General features: G+C 39.1%; 2 protein-coding genes across 2 annotated transcripts in view, besides 4 other annotated features; one reads left to right on the top strand and one right to left on the bottom strand.

The window, feature by feature from the left end:
* Window positions 2,529-14,628, bottom strand: DDX20 (DEAD-box helicase 20). The gene is made up of 11 exons (NM_007204.5): window positions 14,304-14,628; window positions 13,789-13,883; window positions 10,961-11,129; window positions 9,941-10,055; window positions 9,681-9,823; window positions 9,404-9,542; window positions 9,245-9,303; window positions 8,192-8,274; window positions 7,747-7,852; window positions 7,522-7,623; window positions 2,529-4,792 (listed from the first exon to the last, which is right to left on the bottom strand). Exons 1-11 carry the CDS (start codon window positions 14,602-14,604, stop codon window positions 3,630-3,632), a joined length of 2,475 nt encoding a protein of 824 aa, NP_009135.4. The 5' UTR covers window positions 14,605-14,628; the 3' UTR covers window positions 2,529-3,629.
* Window positions 13,994-14,878: an enhancer, noted in NCBI's record as "NANOG-H3K27ac-H3K4me1 hESC enhancer chr1:112298273-112299157 (GRCh37/hg19 assembly coordinates)". NCBI's record gives its function as "activates a minimal SCP1, AML or CMV promoter by ChIP-STARR-seq in naive and primed H9 embryonic stem cells {active_cell/tissue: H9 hESC(naive and primed)}" and the evidence as "EXISTENCE:reporter gene assay evidence [ECO:0000049][PMID:30033119]".
* Window positions 13,994-14,909: a biological region, named in NCBI's record as "NANOG-H3K27ac-H3K4me1 hESC enhancer GRCh37_chr1:112298273-112299157".
* Window positions 14,290-14,369: a silencer, noted in NCBI's record as "silent region_1194". NCBI's record gives its function as "represses an Ori minimal core promoter by ATAC-STARR-seq in GM12878 lymphoblastoid cells {active_cell/tissue: GM12878}" and the evidence as "EXISTENCE:reporter gene assay evidence [ECO:0000049][PMID:35858748]".
* INKA2 (inka box actin regulator 2) overlaps window positions 14,732-14,936 on the top strand; it is a 33,734-nt gene continuing 33,529 nt past the window's right edge. The window contains exon 1 of the mRNA NM_198926.2: window positions 14,732-14,828. Within this exon, the coding sequence (NP_945120.1) occupies window positions 14,817-14,828 (12 nt within the window). The 5' untranslated portion in view covers window positions 14,732-14,816. The remainder of the gene's footprint in view (window positions 14,829-14,936) is intronic.
* Window positions 14,780-14,909: a silencer, noted in NCBI's record as "silent region_1193". NCBI's record gives its function as "represses an Ori minimal core promoter by ATAC-STARR-seq in GM12878 lymphoblastoid cells {active_cell/tissue: GM12878}" and the evidence as "EXISTENCE:reporter gene assay evidence [ECO:0000049][PMID:35858748]".

Below are 14,936 nucleotides of genomic sequence, written 5' to 3'. Positions count from 1 at the left end.
AAAGGCCTAGAGTAATCTTCCCACTCCATCCCTCAATGTAAACATAAACAACTCCTCTATGATATCGCTGATGGTTCTTGCCTGCTTGTATGCTGTATTTGTGGATGTTCGCTAACAGGTAAAGCATTCGATTTTATCTATCAACGGCTCTATTTTGAACACTGACCCCATATTATTGAAAGAAAATCTGACTTTATGTATCAGTACTGGTTTTACTGAGTACCAAGTTCTCAAATTAAAAAGAAAACTCAGAATTAAATGTTCTGTGGGGTATTGTAGAAAGCTTGGGAATCAGATGGTGGAGATTCAAGTTTAGGTTCTAGCACTGAATTGTGACTTCCCATCAGTAACTCCCTCTTGGCTTCAGTTAGTTTCCTCCTGTTAAAAATGGAGAATTAGAGCATAGTGGCATGTGCCTGTAGTTCCAGTTACTTGGGAGGCTAAGGTAGGAGGATCCCTTGAGCCCAGGAGTTCAAGTCCAGCCTAGGGAACATAATAAGACCCTCATCTCTAAAAAAACAAACAACAAAAAATGGGGATTGGATTAGTTATCTTGGAAATCTGTTCCAAACTTAACAATTCTGACTTAGGTGATAAGACCAACCGGCAGTCTGTTTCACCGTTGGCAATGAGGAGAATCCTTTTAATTTCCCCACAACTAGATCCAATTGATGAAAACAGTAATAGAAATGGAACACTAAAACAAATACATGATGCCCAAAGACCTTAGAAATTAGCTGTGAAATTCATTTTAATCATTGATGCTCACATCCTTATCACCCACTAGGTGTCACTGCAGACCCACAGACCAAATAATCTTCGGGTAGAAATAACTGGAAACCAGATATGCATTGAGCAATTTGTGTTCTTTTTCATTAAGACGCACTGAATGTCAAGTGAGACATACGTGCTTGTGTACAGAGGTACAAAATAATAAACACATTCTGCCAAAATAAGTCAATAACCTTGCGATGGAGTTCTGTCAGCTAGGGTTATCAAAAATACATATTTTTAAAAGACTAATGTAGATTTCATTTAAGGGGGAAAAAAACATAAAACTTCATACTACTCCCTTTGTCTCATACAGAGTGATCCGCAAGTACTGTATGTTCAATTATTTTTAGTATTCAGGGGCTGAACTTTGCCTTTAAACCACATTTTAAAAGGTTAATAAGTATTACTGTAATACCTAAGCTACTTTAGAAAATATTACCTTTAGTCATCCAAAATAATTCATATTCTAAGTCAGAATTATTCAAAGTAGCAGGTTTCTCAAATATCTCGCTACATGTTAATATTGCTAGCCTAATTCAAGTTACAGCTTAACGTGAATAGTTGCAGTGTTAATGATTTACAAGTATTCACAAATTCAGACATTTAACCAATTCACATCAGCCTTCGTCCAAATTACTTGAATTTATAAAGGCTTTCTGTATTTATAAATTTGATTATCCTTTTCCTGAACTAGAAACTATTTTTTCTTCAGCATATGTCATATAATCATAGAACTAGAAGGGATCCTAAAAATCTTCTAGTCCAACTTTCATTTTATTGATGGGAAAACTGGACCATGAGAGGTTAAATGACTGGTACAAGGTTAAAAAGTAGGTAGTAGCAGTATCAACCAGGACAAGTACCTTTTTCACACCACCACAGAGCCTTCTCAAGTGAATCTACTGTAAACCTCTCTATGGTTCCTAACAGATGATGGAAAGATGCACCTAGACTGACAATCAAAAAAAAAATTTTTTTCCACACAAAGGTGAGTCACACACAAATAGCAGTATGTGGAAGATCCCTTCCACATCCACAACTATAGCTACCTGTTAGTTGAGAAGGTGGCAGCTGCCATTTTCCTGGTAAATGCTTATGGAAATTGAAGCAATTAGTATTTTTGTATGTTATACATATGCTTACCTCCAGCTTATTTTTGTGGGGAAAAAAAAGCAAGCACAAAATAGAGAATCCAATTACTCTGAAGACTAATGGGTAACCTCGTCTCTAATTAAGATGAGGCAGTACCCTAATTAAAATCCCCCAGCAATGACAAACTGAACTTGGCTGTATTGTGGGGGAAAGGATGGAAAAAGTAAATTCAATTATATATCAATGACAGGATCTTATTTAAATGTGTAATTAAAATCTCTACTTCTTAATGACATACTGGACCTAATTATGGATTTGCTATCTACATTATTAATTAATTCACATACTGACACATGTAAGAAAAGCCTAATATTGCCCAATCCAAATGACAGGAATCCAAGTTAAGTAGGATTTTAGAATTGTGTTATGTAGGTGTTGGACAATAAATGACAATGGCTGTGGGTGTTTGCTGACAGCCCTGGGGAAAGTGTTTATACTACCTAGACAAGTATGTACACAGGAAAGAAGAGCTTTCCTTTTAAAAAGTGAATACACATCTCTCTACACAAGTGGTTCTCTCATAAAAAATCCAGTTCACAGAAAGGCTTGGGAACCAAAAGCTTAATCATAAAAGGATTTCCAGAGGAAAAAAGCAAAGAATATGTAATTTCCAATTATATTTTTCTAAATCGTAATTTACAGATGCATCAGCTCAGATCCAAGCTCCTCTTGGATCCTAACATTAGAGGTAAAAACTGGGGAAAATTTTCTAGAAGACACAAAATTAGGATGTACTAAGAAGTGTCTGAAGAGAATCAATTCCAGCTTCCACAAAATACTTAAAACTAAGAGCTAGAACTTCCCCTAGCCTACCAGCAGAGCAGGTCACTTGTTAATCTGGACTGTATAGATGAACTTCAGAGGGTCTATGAACCCCTTGAAATTACACTCACAATTCTGTGCTTATGGAATGAGAAATTTCCTGAAGTCAATCTATAGCTATCAGCTGATTCATAAAAGGATCCAAGAACCAAAAAAGATTAAGAGCTGCTCCTCTATCTGAGCAACACAAGTAAGACAGCAACTGATGACCCACAGCTATTTAATACACAGCAAAAATGTGGACAGCTTTCACAGCCTCAAAAGACATTCAAAAGATAAACAACAAACATGTAAATATATTTAAATTTGTTTTTACTAAAAACAAATATTTTTACTGGAAGCTAACAGATCAAATCAAATACCTTTAGGAAAATCTAAAGCAATGTTTAAATATTCCTTCCTGCCTAAAACCTAAGAGGATTTTCTGATCTACCATGCTACAAATTTCTACAAGAATGCACCTCTATAGAAGGAAATGCAGCCTAAGCCCTTTGTAAAGAACTCCACAGCAATAATATTACTAATCAAATCTATTGCTTTTATTGTTTTTAAGTAAGTGGTGGTATATGTCATCTTTTTAAATGTTTCTTTTGGGAAGATCTTATAGAAAATGGCACCCTGAAACTTTCAGCTCTATGTCCCAAAAATTATCTTTCAACAATCTGATGAAGTTTCTTAAAGAAACTCTTAAAAATGAAGATAATATACCTGGCCTAAATCAAAACAATCTGAAAAATGGATGTGTCCCAGTGGAAAGACTCAAGTCTTTTCAAGTTTATCAGAAATGCCACTATACACCACTGTACTATAAGTCGAGGAGGATGGATATCCAAAGGTATCATTTGTTGACAGTTCCTGATGGTCTCAGGTATATCCTATAATCACTGGTTACTATGCATCATTTCTTGTAGATAAATGGTATTCATGTGATAAGCTGCCATCCAACTTGGATGTCTCTGAGCATTCCAATAATATGAATGAGAAGCGGCAGCATAATATTCTTGCCATGCCCTGTAGTAAGCTCTCCAGTACTCCTCATAATCCTGATAGGTATCAGAAAAACTCAGACGTATTTCCCTATGACAGTCATACCAATCATCTTCCTGGGCTTCAGTCTGCAATCTGAAGGAAGACCGCCTGGGTAGGTTTCTCCGGCTCTGCTTAGCTCTCTGGCTAGCCCCCTCTTTAAGTCTTGTCTTCATCTGGATTCCAGGTGATTCTTGATATTTCTCTGGATTGGGGGTGTCACTTCCATTTGGTGGTTGTTCCAAAGAAATACGATCATCCACAGGCGTAGATTCAGAGTCTTTCAGCTGATTATCAGAAGAGCCTTCCAAGTATGACTTATTTCCTTTGCTCTGGGAAGAGGTTCTTGAGCTGTAAGAATCACTGTCACTCTCAGAGTCTCCAGATTGGCTACTACTTGCCAACACAGGGACTCTCTGTTCAATAACTTTATTTCTCACAAAACCATTTTGAGGATTCACAGTCTGATCCCCAGGGCCTGTGTAGTGCCTGATGATTTCCACAGGTTTCTCTAACCCCTCTTTAATATAATGTTCATAATCCTCTACCAATTCAGCAAAAGTCAACGTGTATGGCTGATGGATTTTAAAGGAAGACAGACAAGGAATCTGGGGGAGTGACACAGGTAAAGCTTCTTTGACCTGGTGCTGACTGTTGGTGGAGTTTTCAACGGGAGTCTGAACAGAATTCTTCATTTGCTCTTCGGATTGCCTGTCACAGCCCAGTTCTTTTGGTGACGTTGCTTTTTCTATGATTCCACATTCTGAGTGGCTTTTCACAGGAAGCTTTTGTTTGGTATTATTTTTTGATTTGACTGATAGTCCAGATACAGAATTATTTCTAGAGGAAGCCATGTGGTCACCATGAGCTTTCTGAATTTGAAGGGTTCTCTCTATTTTCTGAATTTGCTTTTTTAAGGGTTGGTTAGGTACACTTGCTATACCATATGTATGCACAGCAGCTTTAACTTCCACATCCCAATCCACACATTCTTCCATCAGACCAGAAGGAATGGGATCTACATAAAAAGGAAGAAAAATGTATTAAAATTCTCAAGCTACTCTAGACCACTGTTTTCTGAATGATTTCATAAAGTTTTCTATGATCAAATACATTTAAGAAACAATATGCAAATATACTAAGATGTTTAATAGATATAACATTTTTAAAGACTGAAGCAATCCTGTAATAAAGAAACCTGCCTAAGAAATATGTAAGACCCATCCCATACTCACAAGCACTATCTCCCCTCACTCTCACTAGAAAAAGAGCTTACTCTAGGAGTAATGTACAAGCCTGCAACAATTCTCCCATCTTTTCTCTCCTCCCTCTCCACAGCCCCTCCCCTTTATCTCAATACTTCTGACAGCAAAACAAGATATTAGAAAATGGATTGTGCTCCCCAAAGCTTATCAACTAGGAAATAATACAACTGCAACTCTGTACACCCAACTAAATCTGTCACCCAATATTCCAACAGGGAGAAATCACTGCCCTTAACAATAAAGAGAAAACCTCTATAGGGGAAAAAACTAGATGACTATGAAAAGATCTGTGACTATGAAAATCAGAAATGACATTTCTAATTTTTAAAAAATTTGCTGGCTTCAACCCTCTAAATTTTCTATTCCATCCAGGTGTGACAATTTGCTTCCCACACTCAGACCTTTCAAAGTGTGATCAATTTTTGTCTTAGGCAGACAAGATATATCAAGCCCCTGCTTTACAAAGATCTTGCCTGTTGTTGCTATTTATGCTCCATGTTATCTATAAATCCCACAGGTCTGGATACTTCAATGAAGTCTCTTGATCCTTTGCTGAACAGATTCTATGATTAAAACTCTCATTCCTACTCAGTTGATATCCCTTGCTTGCCTAGTCCTATAATACAGGCCAATTTCCCTCCTAGTTCTGCCCCAGGAAACTCATCTGAACATCTGTTGTTACACAAGTTCCCAGTCCAATACAGACCTAACAGCATGAATATCATTTTCTCATGATTTCAGGGCCCTATTAACATTACATAAAGATCCAAATATATCATTTTCCAGTATCCAAAGGCAATTTTTATCACTAGATGCTATGATATTGAATCCTACAAGAAGTCTTAACCCTCTTCTACCAATTTTCAATTTTTTTCCCATATCAGACTACGAATAGACTTATACACAGAAAGAACTGACAGTTTTAGAACTGACATAGAGCCTAAAGACCATTTACTCTAAAGTACTTTGCAAATCAGGACTCTAAGCTTACAGCAATTACAGAGATTTGTAAAAGATCATAAAATGAGTTATTACTAACCCGATCTACTAGAATACATAGAACTCCCAGATCTGTGCTTAATCTAGCTCTGTAAAATAATTAAATATAAAGTCGGTAAAATACTCAATTATATTTATTCAATAACTACATATCCTATATTCTGCAAAGTCATGTATATACTATATGTGTATTTTTCTTTTTTTTTTTTGAGACTGAGTCTCGCACTTTCGCCCAGGCTGGAGTGCAATGGCGGATCTTGGCTCACTGCAAGCTCCACCTCCCAGGTTCATGCCATTCTCCGGCCTCAGCCTTCCAAGTAGCTGGGACTACAGACACCCACCACCATGCCCGGCTAATTTTCTGTATTTTTTTTTAGTAGAGACAGGGTTTCACTGTGTTAGCCAGGATGGTCTTGATCTCCTGACCTCGTCATCCGCCCGCCTCAGCCTCCCAAAGTGCTGGCATTACAGGCGTGACCTATATGTGTATTTTTCTATATAGACATACATCTATATATGAATAGACACTATTTATAGTGCACATTTTCTGTATAACATGCACGTCAAAAATGCCATATTTCCACTCAAGGGTTTTTTAGAATTTTTTGTTTTTAAGAGATCATTACTAGTTTTAAACATGCGTTGTTTCCAAGAGGGCACTTAAAAAGAAGCAGAACAAATGACTGAACTGAAATCAAAAGAAAACATTTCACTCCAATTTTTCAAAATAGTATTCAAATTAAAGATGCTGTTCTTTCCACATGGTGACAAAGGAGAATATGGCAAGAATTACCTTCACAACAATTTAAGAGGTAAAATATCCCCCCTTGTATCAAAGAATAAAATCAAATTGCAAAGCCACTAACTAATAAAATAGAGCTAACATAGCTCTCATTTTTCTTTCTTTTTTTTTTTTTTGAGACGGAGTTTCACTCTTGTTGCCCAGGTTGGAGTGCAATGGCTTGATTTCAGCTCACTGCAACCTCCACCTCCTGGGTTCAAGCGATTCTCCTGCCTCAGCCTCCCAAGTAGTTGGGATTACAGGCACCTGCCACCACGCCCAGCTAATTTTTGTATTTTTAGTAGAGAAGAGGTTTCACCACATTGACCAGGCTCGTCTTGAACTCCTGACCTCATGTGATCCACCTGTCCTGGCCTCCCAAAGTGCTGGGATTACAGGCGTGAGCCACTGCGCCTAGCCAGCTCTCATTTTTCATGTGCCAGTGGTTAGCTTGCACTCCTCTCCGTGCTACTTACTAGCTGTAACACCTTTACTTACCCTCTCTATGTCTAAATATCCTCATCTACAAAACAATTGCACACACCTCATAGGAGTGTGGTGAGAAGTAAATGAGTTAACGTACATACAGGACTGGGAACAGTACCCAGCACATCATAAGCACTCTGTTAGCTATTATTATCATTTTTATTATGCTTATCACCACTATAATTATTTTGAAATAATGAAACAGATGAAATGTACCTGGTAAAGGGAGAAGGTTGATATTACATTTCTGGGCAATTCTCATCATCATATTTTCTTCCTCTCCCCGGCAACAGTAGGTCACTGTCAGCCCCAATGTACCTAAAAGCAGAGAGAATGTTAGGTAGTAAATCATTTTCACAAAAATAATATTCAAAGCCCACCTGTCACATTATAGATCCCTCCCCTTAAAGAAAGCACTCAAACTTTTTTTTTTTTTTTTACCAAAACGGCCAGCTCTCCCAATCCGATGCATGTATGTCTCCCAATCCAATGGTACATCCAGATTTACAACCAGATTCACCTTCTCAGCATCAATCCCACGAGAAGTCTTGAATTGAAGAAGATAGCAATTATTTGTTTGCATTAACTATACAGCATGGATACCAATGCATATTATATTCTTCCAGTACAGTCAAGAGACAAATTAAGAACTGAATACTGAGGAGCAGAGGAAAAGGAAATTCATTCCTAATGACTAATTTCAAGGACAAAGATAAACATATTAAAGACATTTTTAAGAAAGTATTTTCCTCAGCACTGGAAAGATAATTATCTTCTGGTATTCTTGTTAGATACGCCTACATAAAATAATATATGAAATCTGTACATCTGATAATAGAACATATGTCAAGATGGATTAGTCACCCAAACTGAATAGGAAATTTACCAAATCTGTGGAAATGAGGACTCTGCAATGAAAGTGCTTCAGTTTAGCCATAGCATCAAGACGCTGATTCTGATTCATATTGCCTAAAAGGACCCCAAAAGAAAGTCACATAAAAACAACTAAGCTAATACATATTTATCCAATCCACAAAAAGTAAAAAGCATAACACCCAGTCTTAACACTTTTAATACACCAACCACAGTTAATTCTGTCCTTCTGTGCAAATCTAGGTTAAGATCCAAAGTTAAAATCTTTTAAACTATGGTTTAGGCAATCAACTTGAAATTCAAAAATCAATCCTAAATAGTGATCAGGCCATGCCTGAATATATAACATTCTATTTGCAAAGTTACATATGAAGTATAACTAGCAATTCTTAGGAAAATAAAAATGCTTTAATCAGCTGTTTATAATTTGGTGTTAAAGTGTGATCTATAGTTTAAGTATTGGTTCATTAGAAAATAGTCTCCCCAGTATCTCGTGATATACCATAACTAAACAAGCTCATGCCAACAGGTTAAAAATTAAGCTGACACCAAACAAAACTCTAAAAAGGATCTCACTGATCAAAAAATCCTTCGACTCTTTCATTCTTATTATGCCAGCAGTAATCATTTAACTTTGCAGCAAGAACTCAATCACTTTTGCCTTCCACAAAACCATAAAACAGTCAATTCAGTTAGCAATCTCCAGCATTTTAACAATTATTAAAAAAAAAAATTCTAAAGAAAAAATATTTTTATCTTAACACAATACAGACAAACTTGGTTTTATAGAATTAAGTTATATGTGGCTATAAGAGAGATTCTAATAAAATTGTCTTTCTGAACACTAGTTTTCTAACTTTTTACTATATACCAAGTTACTCCTTAAAAATAGAATATTGACATATCAAATTCCAATGAAAAATAAGCCTGAAAATTCCTTTACTCTAAAAGATACAAGATAATTTCACACTCTCAAGACAACTCATAAAGTGGTATTTTTTCCTCCTGACTTTGGAGGCTTCAAGTCAGTATACTAAATAAAGATTAAAGTAAGAGATGAACTTACCTGAAATGCACTCAGCAGGAAAGCCTTTAGAAGAAAGGATATCAGCCAAATGTTGTGCTCTATGAAATATAACATAAATGGTTACAAATTTACAAATATTGCCCCATGACTATCCTTTTATTTCACAAGTTCCCCAGATGACCTTTTAAGTTACATTACCTGCTGTGCAAATTAGAAAAGACTAAAGCTTGATTAAATGGAATTCTGCTGAACAGTTCCTGTAAATGCTGAGTCTTTTCCTCAAAAACCTTATGTGCCAAAGGGTATGAATTGACAACTTTGTAATACTGCTTCAAACCTACAAAGAAGAGCTATCAGTTAAAACAAATATATATGCTAATGGTAACCATGAAACAGCAAGACAAAACTAGGCAAGGGAAAGCTCCAGCATATCACAAATAAACCAATAATATAAGTACCTAAAAGCTGTACACACCTATGAGACTTGGATCACTGGAATTCAGTCTTACAAAAGTGGGATCTCTCATGTACTTTGTCAAAGCATTAGCCAAAAATTCGGGATAAGTAGCTGATACTGCCAGCATCTGTTTACTGGCAGGCAAGGAAGAATAAATCCAACTGCAAAATAAAAACAGATACCATGTAAATTATTCAAACAATAATCACCACTTGGAAAAGCTAAAGATAGATACTTCGGAACACTGTTTTAATAGTCAAGTTAGTTATTTTTCTTACTTTATTTGCTCCTGGAAGCTGCCTTCTTCTAAAAGCTTATCTGCTTCATCAAGAATAAAGAGGCGTATACTGCCTGGGTTCAAGTAGTCAAGTTCTATGAGTTGCTTAATTCTGCCTAATTAAAAAAAAAAAATTGAAATATTTATGATGTACCAAATTTGTGTAAATCTCAGCCAATATTGTTACTCTACTTATTACTTACAGGTTGTTCTGCTGAATTTCCTGATTCAACTCTCATTATGCATGTACACACTAAACCACAAATTAGAAATCTGGAGCTCTGATCTTGACTAAACTCATTGTTTTCCCCTCACGTTTCATCACCAGTAAATAAACACCATTTCTATCAAAAGACCTAAAGCACTGAATGCAAGATGCTGATTCTGAGTGATTCGCAACCAAATATAATAGAGAAGCCAAAGAATAATCCCAATCCATGGCTTAGAAGGGCCTCCTGAAAGTCACTGCATTTCTCCTCTTCTCAAAAGCCTATCCCATGTCTTCTCAAACATACTTAGGAATGGAGATTTCATAAATTCCACTGGTAAACCAGTCATGTACCTAAATCTCACTGGTCTAATGCTCTTCATTTCTTTTTTTTTTTTTTTTTTTTTTGAGATGGAGTCTCGCTCTGTCACCCAGGCTGGAGTGCAGTGGCGCGATCTCGGCTCACTGCAAGCTCCGCCTCCCGGGTTCACGCCATTCTCCTGCCTCAGCCTCCCGAGTAGCTGGGACTACAGGCGCCCGCTACCACGCCCGGCTAATTTTTTGTATTTTTAGTAGAGACGGGGTTTCACCATGTTAGCCAGGATGGTCTCGATCTCCTGACCTCGTGATCCGCCCGCCTCGGCCTCCCAAAGTGCTGGGATTACAGGCGTGAGCCACCGCGCCCGGCCTGCTCTTCATTTCTAATCAAAATAATTATCACAGTTATCAAAGACTCCCATATATCTTTATTGTTATATTAAAAGTGTGTAGTTCCTTAAAAGCCCTGGTTACCAACAGGCATTGTTATCTTACCAGGAGATCCAACAGCAATATGACACTTTTTAAGTCTGGTTTTGTCTTGTGATAATGGGGTCCCTCCAATAAAGACATGACACTCTAAGCCTTCCATTTTTATTCCAATGGCTGTAATAACAGAATGTATCTGTACAGCAATTTCTCTTGTAGGAGCCAAGATCAAAATCTAAAAAAAAACCATAAATTACACCTTTGAGTCAGAGGAATAAATACATAGGGGACTGGTATATTCATTACATGACACACTATATTTCATTTAAATGATCATTTCAAATGAGTTTTTATTGATAAGGTAAGGTACAGTTATCCCTTGGTATCCACAGGGGATTGGTTCCAGGAAGCCCCCAAATACCAAAACTGGCAGATGCTCAAGTCTGTTATATAAAATTGCATATATCTGTATATTACCTGTGTACATCCTCCCACATATTTTAAACCATCTCTAGATTATTTATAATACCTAATACAATTTAAATGCTATGTAAATGGTTACACCGTATTTTTGTTTATATCTTTTGATTGTTGTATTATTTTTTATTGTTCCTCCATCCTGCCCTGAGTATTTTGATCCACAGTTGGCTGAATCAGCTGATACAAAACCTGAAGACAGGGAGGGCTGACTGTATTCCATTCATTCATTCATTCATTCAACAAATATTAAGTAAGAACCTACTCTGTGCTAGGCAACATACTAGTTGCCGGGGAATCAACAGTTAACAGTACAAAGTCTTTGCCCTCATGGTACTTTCATTCTTGGATAAGAATATATACAGTAAACAAAAATAAGTAATGACAGGTAATAAAAAGTATCATAAAAAAATCAAACAAGGAAAAAAGGAGTCATTTTAAATGAGGTGATCATGAAACCTCCTCAAAGGAGGTACTTTGAGCAGAGACCTACGTGAATGGCATAGAGTAGAGCTGGCTATATGACCCCTGGGGAAGCGTTTTCACCAAGAGGAAACAGCAAATGGAAAGGCCATAAGATGGCAGTGTTCTTGGTGTATTTGAGGAAGAAAAAGAAGGCCCACATGACAGAATTCAGGGGAAAGTAAAGGAGGTCAGAGATCTACCTCCAGGGACTAGATCACAAAAGACCTTGAGAGTCATGGTAAAAACTTTGCAATGTAACTACTGGAGGAGGAGAAAACAAAACTTTGTGCTCTTAACTACAAGAAAAAAAAATTGATTTAAAAAAAAAAAAAAAAAAAGGACTAGGAGAAAACATGCCAAAACTGTTAATAGCAGTTTCTCTCTAGGTAGTAAGATTACAGATTTTGTTTTCTGGTACGTCCTAATTTTTCTGAATTTTCCCTATTTCTAAAAATGAATATGTATTACTTTGATACACACACAGAGAATAATGTAATTTTCATAATCCAAAGATCTGAAATTAAAAATATGAATTTGCCGGGCATGGTGGCTCACACTTGTGATCCCAGCATGTTGGGAGGCTGAGGCAGGTGGATTACCTGAGGTCAGGAGTTTGAGACCAGCCTGGCCGACATGGCGAAACACCGTCTCTACTAAAAATACAAAAAAATTAGCCGGGCGTGTGGTGTGCACACTTGTAATCCCAGCTACTCGGGAGGCTGAGGCAGGAGAATCACTTGAACCTGGGAGGCAGAGGTTGCAGTGAGCCAAGATTGTGCCACTGACTCCAGCCTGGGCAACAGAGTGAGACTCGGTCTCAAAAAAAAATGAGTTGATGAAACTTTTCCAGGATTTCAGCATTTTATCTGCTGCCAAATTGTCAGAAGCCAAAATCTCAAATACATCTTAGTCTACAATTAGACTAACTCAGGTTCTTGGGAAGTAGGAGGATTTCCAATGTGCAACATCACCTAGGATTTGGTAGACATAAGATGGACTCAAAAAGCTTCCCAGGTGATGAACATGGATATCTGGGTTAAAAACCACTGTTGAAGATTCATCATCAGATATACCAATGCCTGAGAACTTGAAATACAGTCTGCCATAACAACTAAACTACCAAGTAAGGCTATGAGAATCACATCTAATTCATCTTTGAATCCCCAATGCCTGGCACACTGTTTATACGTAATACGGACTCAACAAACCTTTGTTGGAGAAATGATCCCCAAACTCAAATTTCCTGCTAATTTGGGTAAGGCAATCTTAGAAACACTCTAAGACAACCTGGAAGATGGGAGATCAATATGATACATTTACAGAGCTTTAAGAACCACCTGCATACCGGCTGTGGTGGCTCATGCCTGTAATCCCAGTACTTTGGGAGGCAAAGGTGGGAGGATTGCTTGAACCCAGGAGTTCAAGGCTGGTCTGTGCAACACTGGAGACCCCATCTCTACAAAAAATACAAGAACTAGCCAGGTGTGGTGGCACACACCTGTAGTCCCAAATACTTAGGAAGATGGGTGGGAGGATCACTGGAGCCCAGAAGTTCAAGGTTGCAGTGAGCAATGATCCGCCACTGCACTCCAGCCTAGGTGACAAAGCGACACCGTCTCAAAAAAAAAAAACAAACTCTGCAGTTACCAACAATAGCCAGAGCACTACATTACCATGAATCAAGTCAAATGTTAAGTCTCACATTAATCTAGTCAGTAAGTAAAAGAAGAATCCCTGTCTGTATTACCAAGTAGTGACAAAATTGACATATATGGTAGCTTTATTCTATTTAAATAAGGTACGCATAGAAAATTCCAAATTTCGCCACCACCACCACTTAACTCAATCATTCATCAAATTCACTTCCAGCTCTGAGGAGCTACTGGTATTTCATCTGACCTGTGGTAAAGTCCACAAAACACATCCTCCTCTGGTCCTCTCAGCTAACTCACCTGGGTACTTAAGTTTTCAAGAACAAGAGAGTCCAAAGCTATGGTGGAGAACACACAGGTTTTCCCGGTGCCAGATTTAGCTTGAACAATTAAATCTGCGAAGGAAAAAAACAATTATCACTAGCCAGTACTCACTGAAGCAACTTAGGGGCTAACATGGAATCAGAGAACTAGAAGGGTCTCCTGAGATTCCCCTAGTTGGCACCTTCATTTTTAGTTGATTCTCAAAAACGTATGAGAACACGCCTAGTCCCTGAACGTTTACCGTTTATCTTCTCAAACTTAGAACCATTTGTCAGTGCTTAAAAAAAGGTCTTAACTATCCTCAAGTTCAATAGTGCACGTTAGTTTTACAAATAAGTTAACTGAGCGTAGCGCCTAGCCCCCGGCAGGGCCCTGCTCCGGGGGCCGACCGAGGGCTCTTCCTGAGCTGCGGCGCGGGCCTGGCCGCCGCCGCCCGTCGGTCCCCCTTCTCCCACCCCACCCCCCGACCTATCCCGGGCCCCCGCTCTCACCGAGCCCGCAGCGCCCCAACGGGATGGCCTTGAGCTGCACCGGCGAGGGCCTCTCGAAGCCGGCCGCCCGCAGCCCCTCCAGCACCGGCCGCGAAAGCAGCAGTGACTCGAAGTCGGCCGGCTCCGCCAACAGCACATCCCCCGTGCGGGTCCGCGGGCTGCTGAGATCCTGAGCGGTCCGCAGGATCCTCACAGGCCCGGGTGTTGGCTCTGGGGCCGGGACCTGCACGGCCACATGCTCAGCCGGCATAGCAGTCGCCACTGCTGCTAAGGCTCCCGAGGCTTCAAATGCCGCCGCCATGGTAGCCGCGCCGTCAGATCTCGCGGTGCTTAAGGGGAGGCGGGGATCTTGGGAGCGAGAAGAAGAAAAACTTTATTGGCAGTTTTCCCGCGAAGACACTAACACGCCCGGCCTGGAAGTGGAAGAAAGGGACGGGAGTCGGAGGCTGAGAGACTGCCCAGACACACAAAAAATGTGGCCTGAGGAAAGCCCCAAGAGGGAGGAGAGGAAAGATGAGGCAACTGGTGAGTCGCTGCCTGTGGCCTGCAGAGGGCGCCGCGGGCCTGCGGTGGGGGCACCGCCCCGCCTCTCGGCCCTCTTCTGGGCGGAGCCGCCCAGCCGTGCCCCCGGCG

Source organism: Homo sapiens, chromosome 1, assembly GCF_000001405.40.
Source record: "Homo sapiens chromosome 1, GRCh38.p14 Primary Assembly".
Classification (NCBI taxonomy): Eukaryota; Metazoa; Chordata; class Mammalia; order Primates; family Hominidae; genus Homo; species Homo sapiens.
Note: the sequence above shows the minus strand (reverse complement) of the source record. Positions and strands in the feature narration are given on the sequence as shown.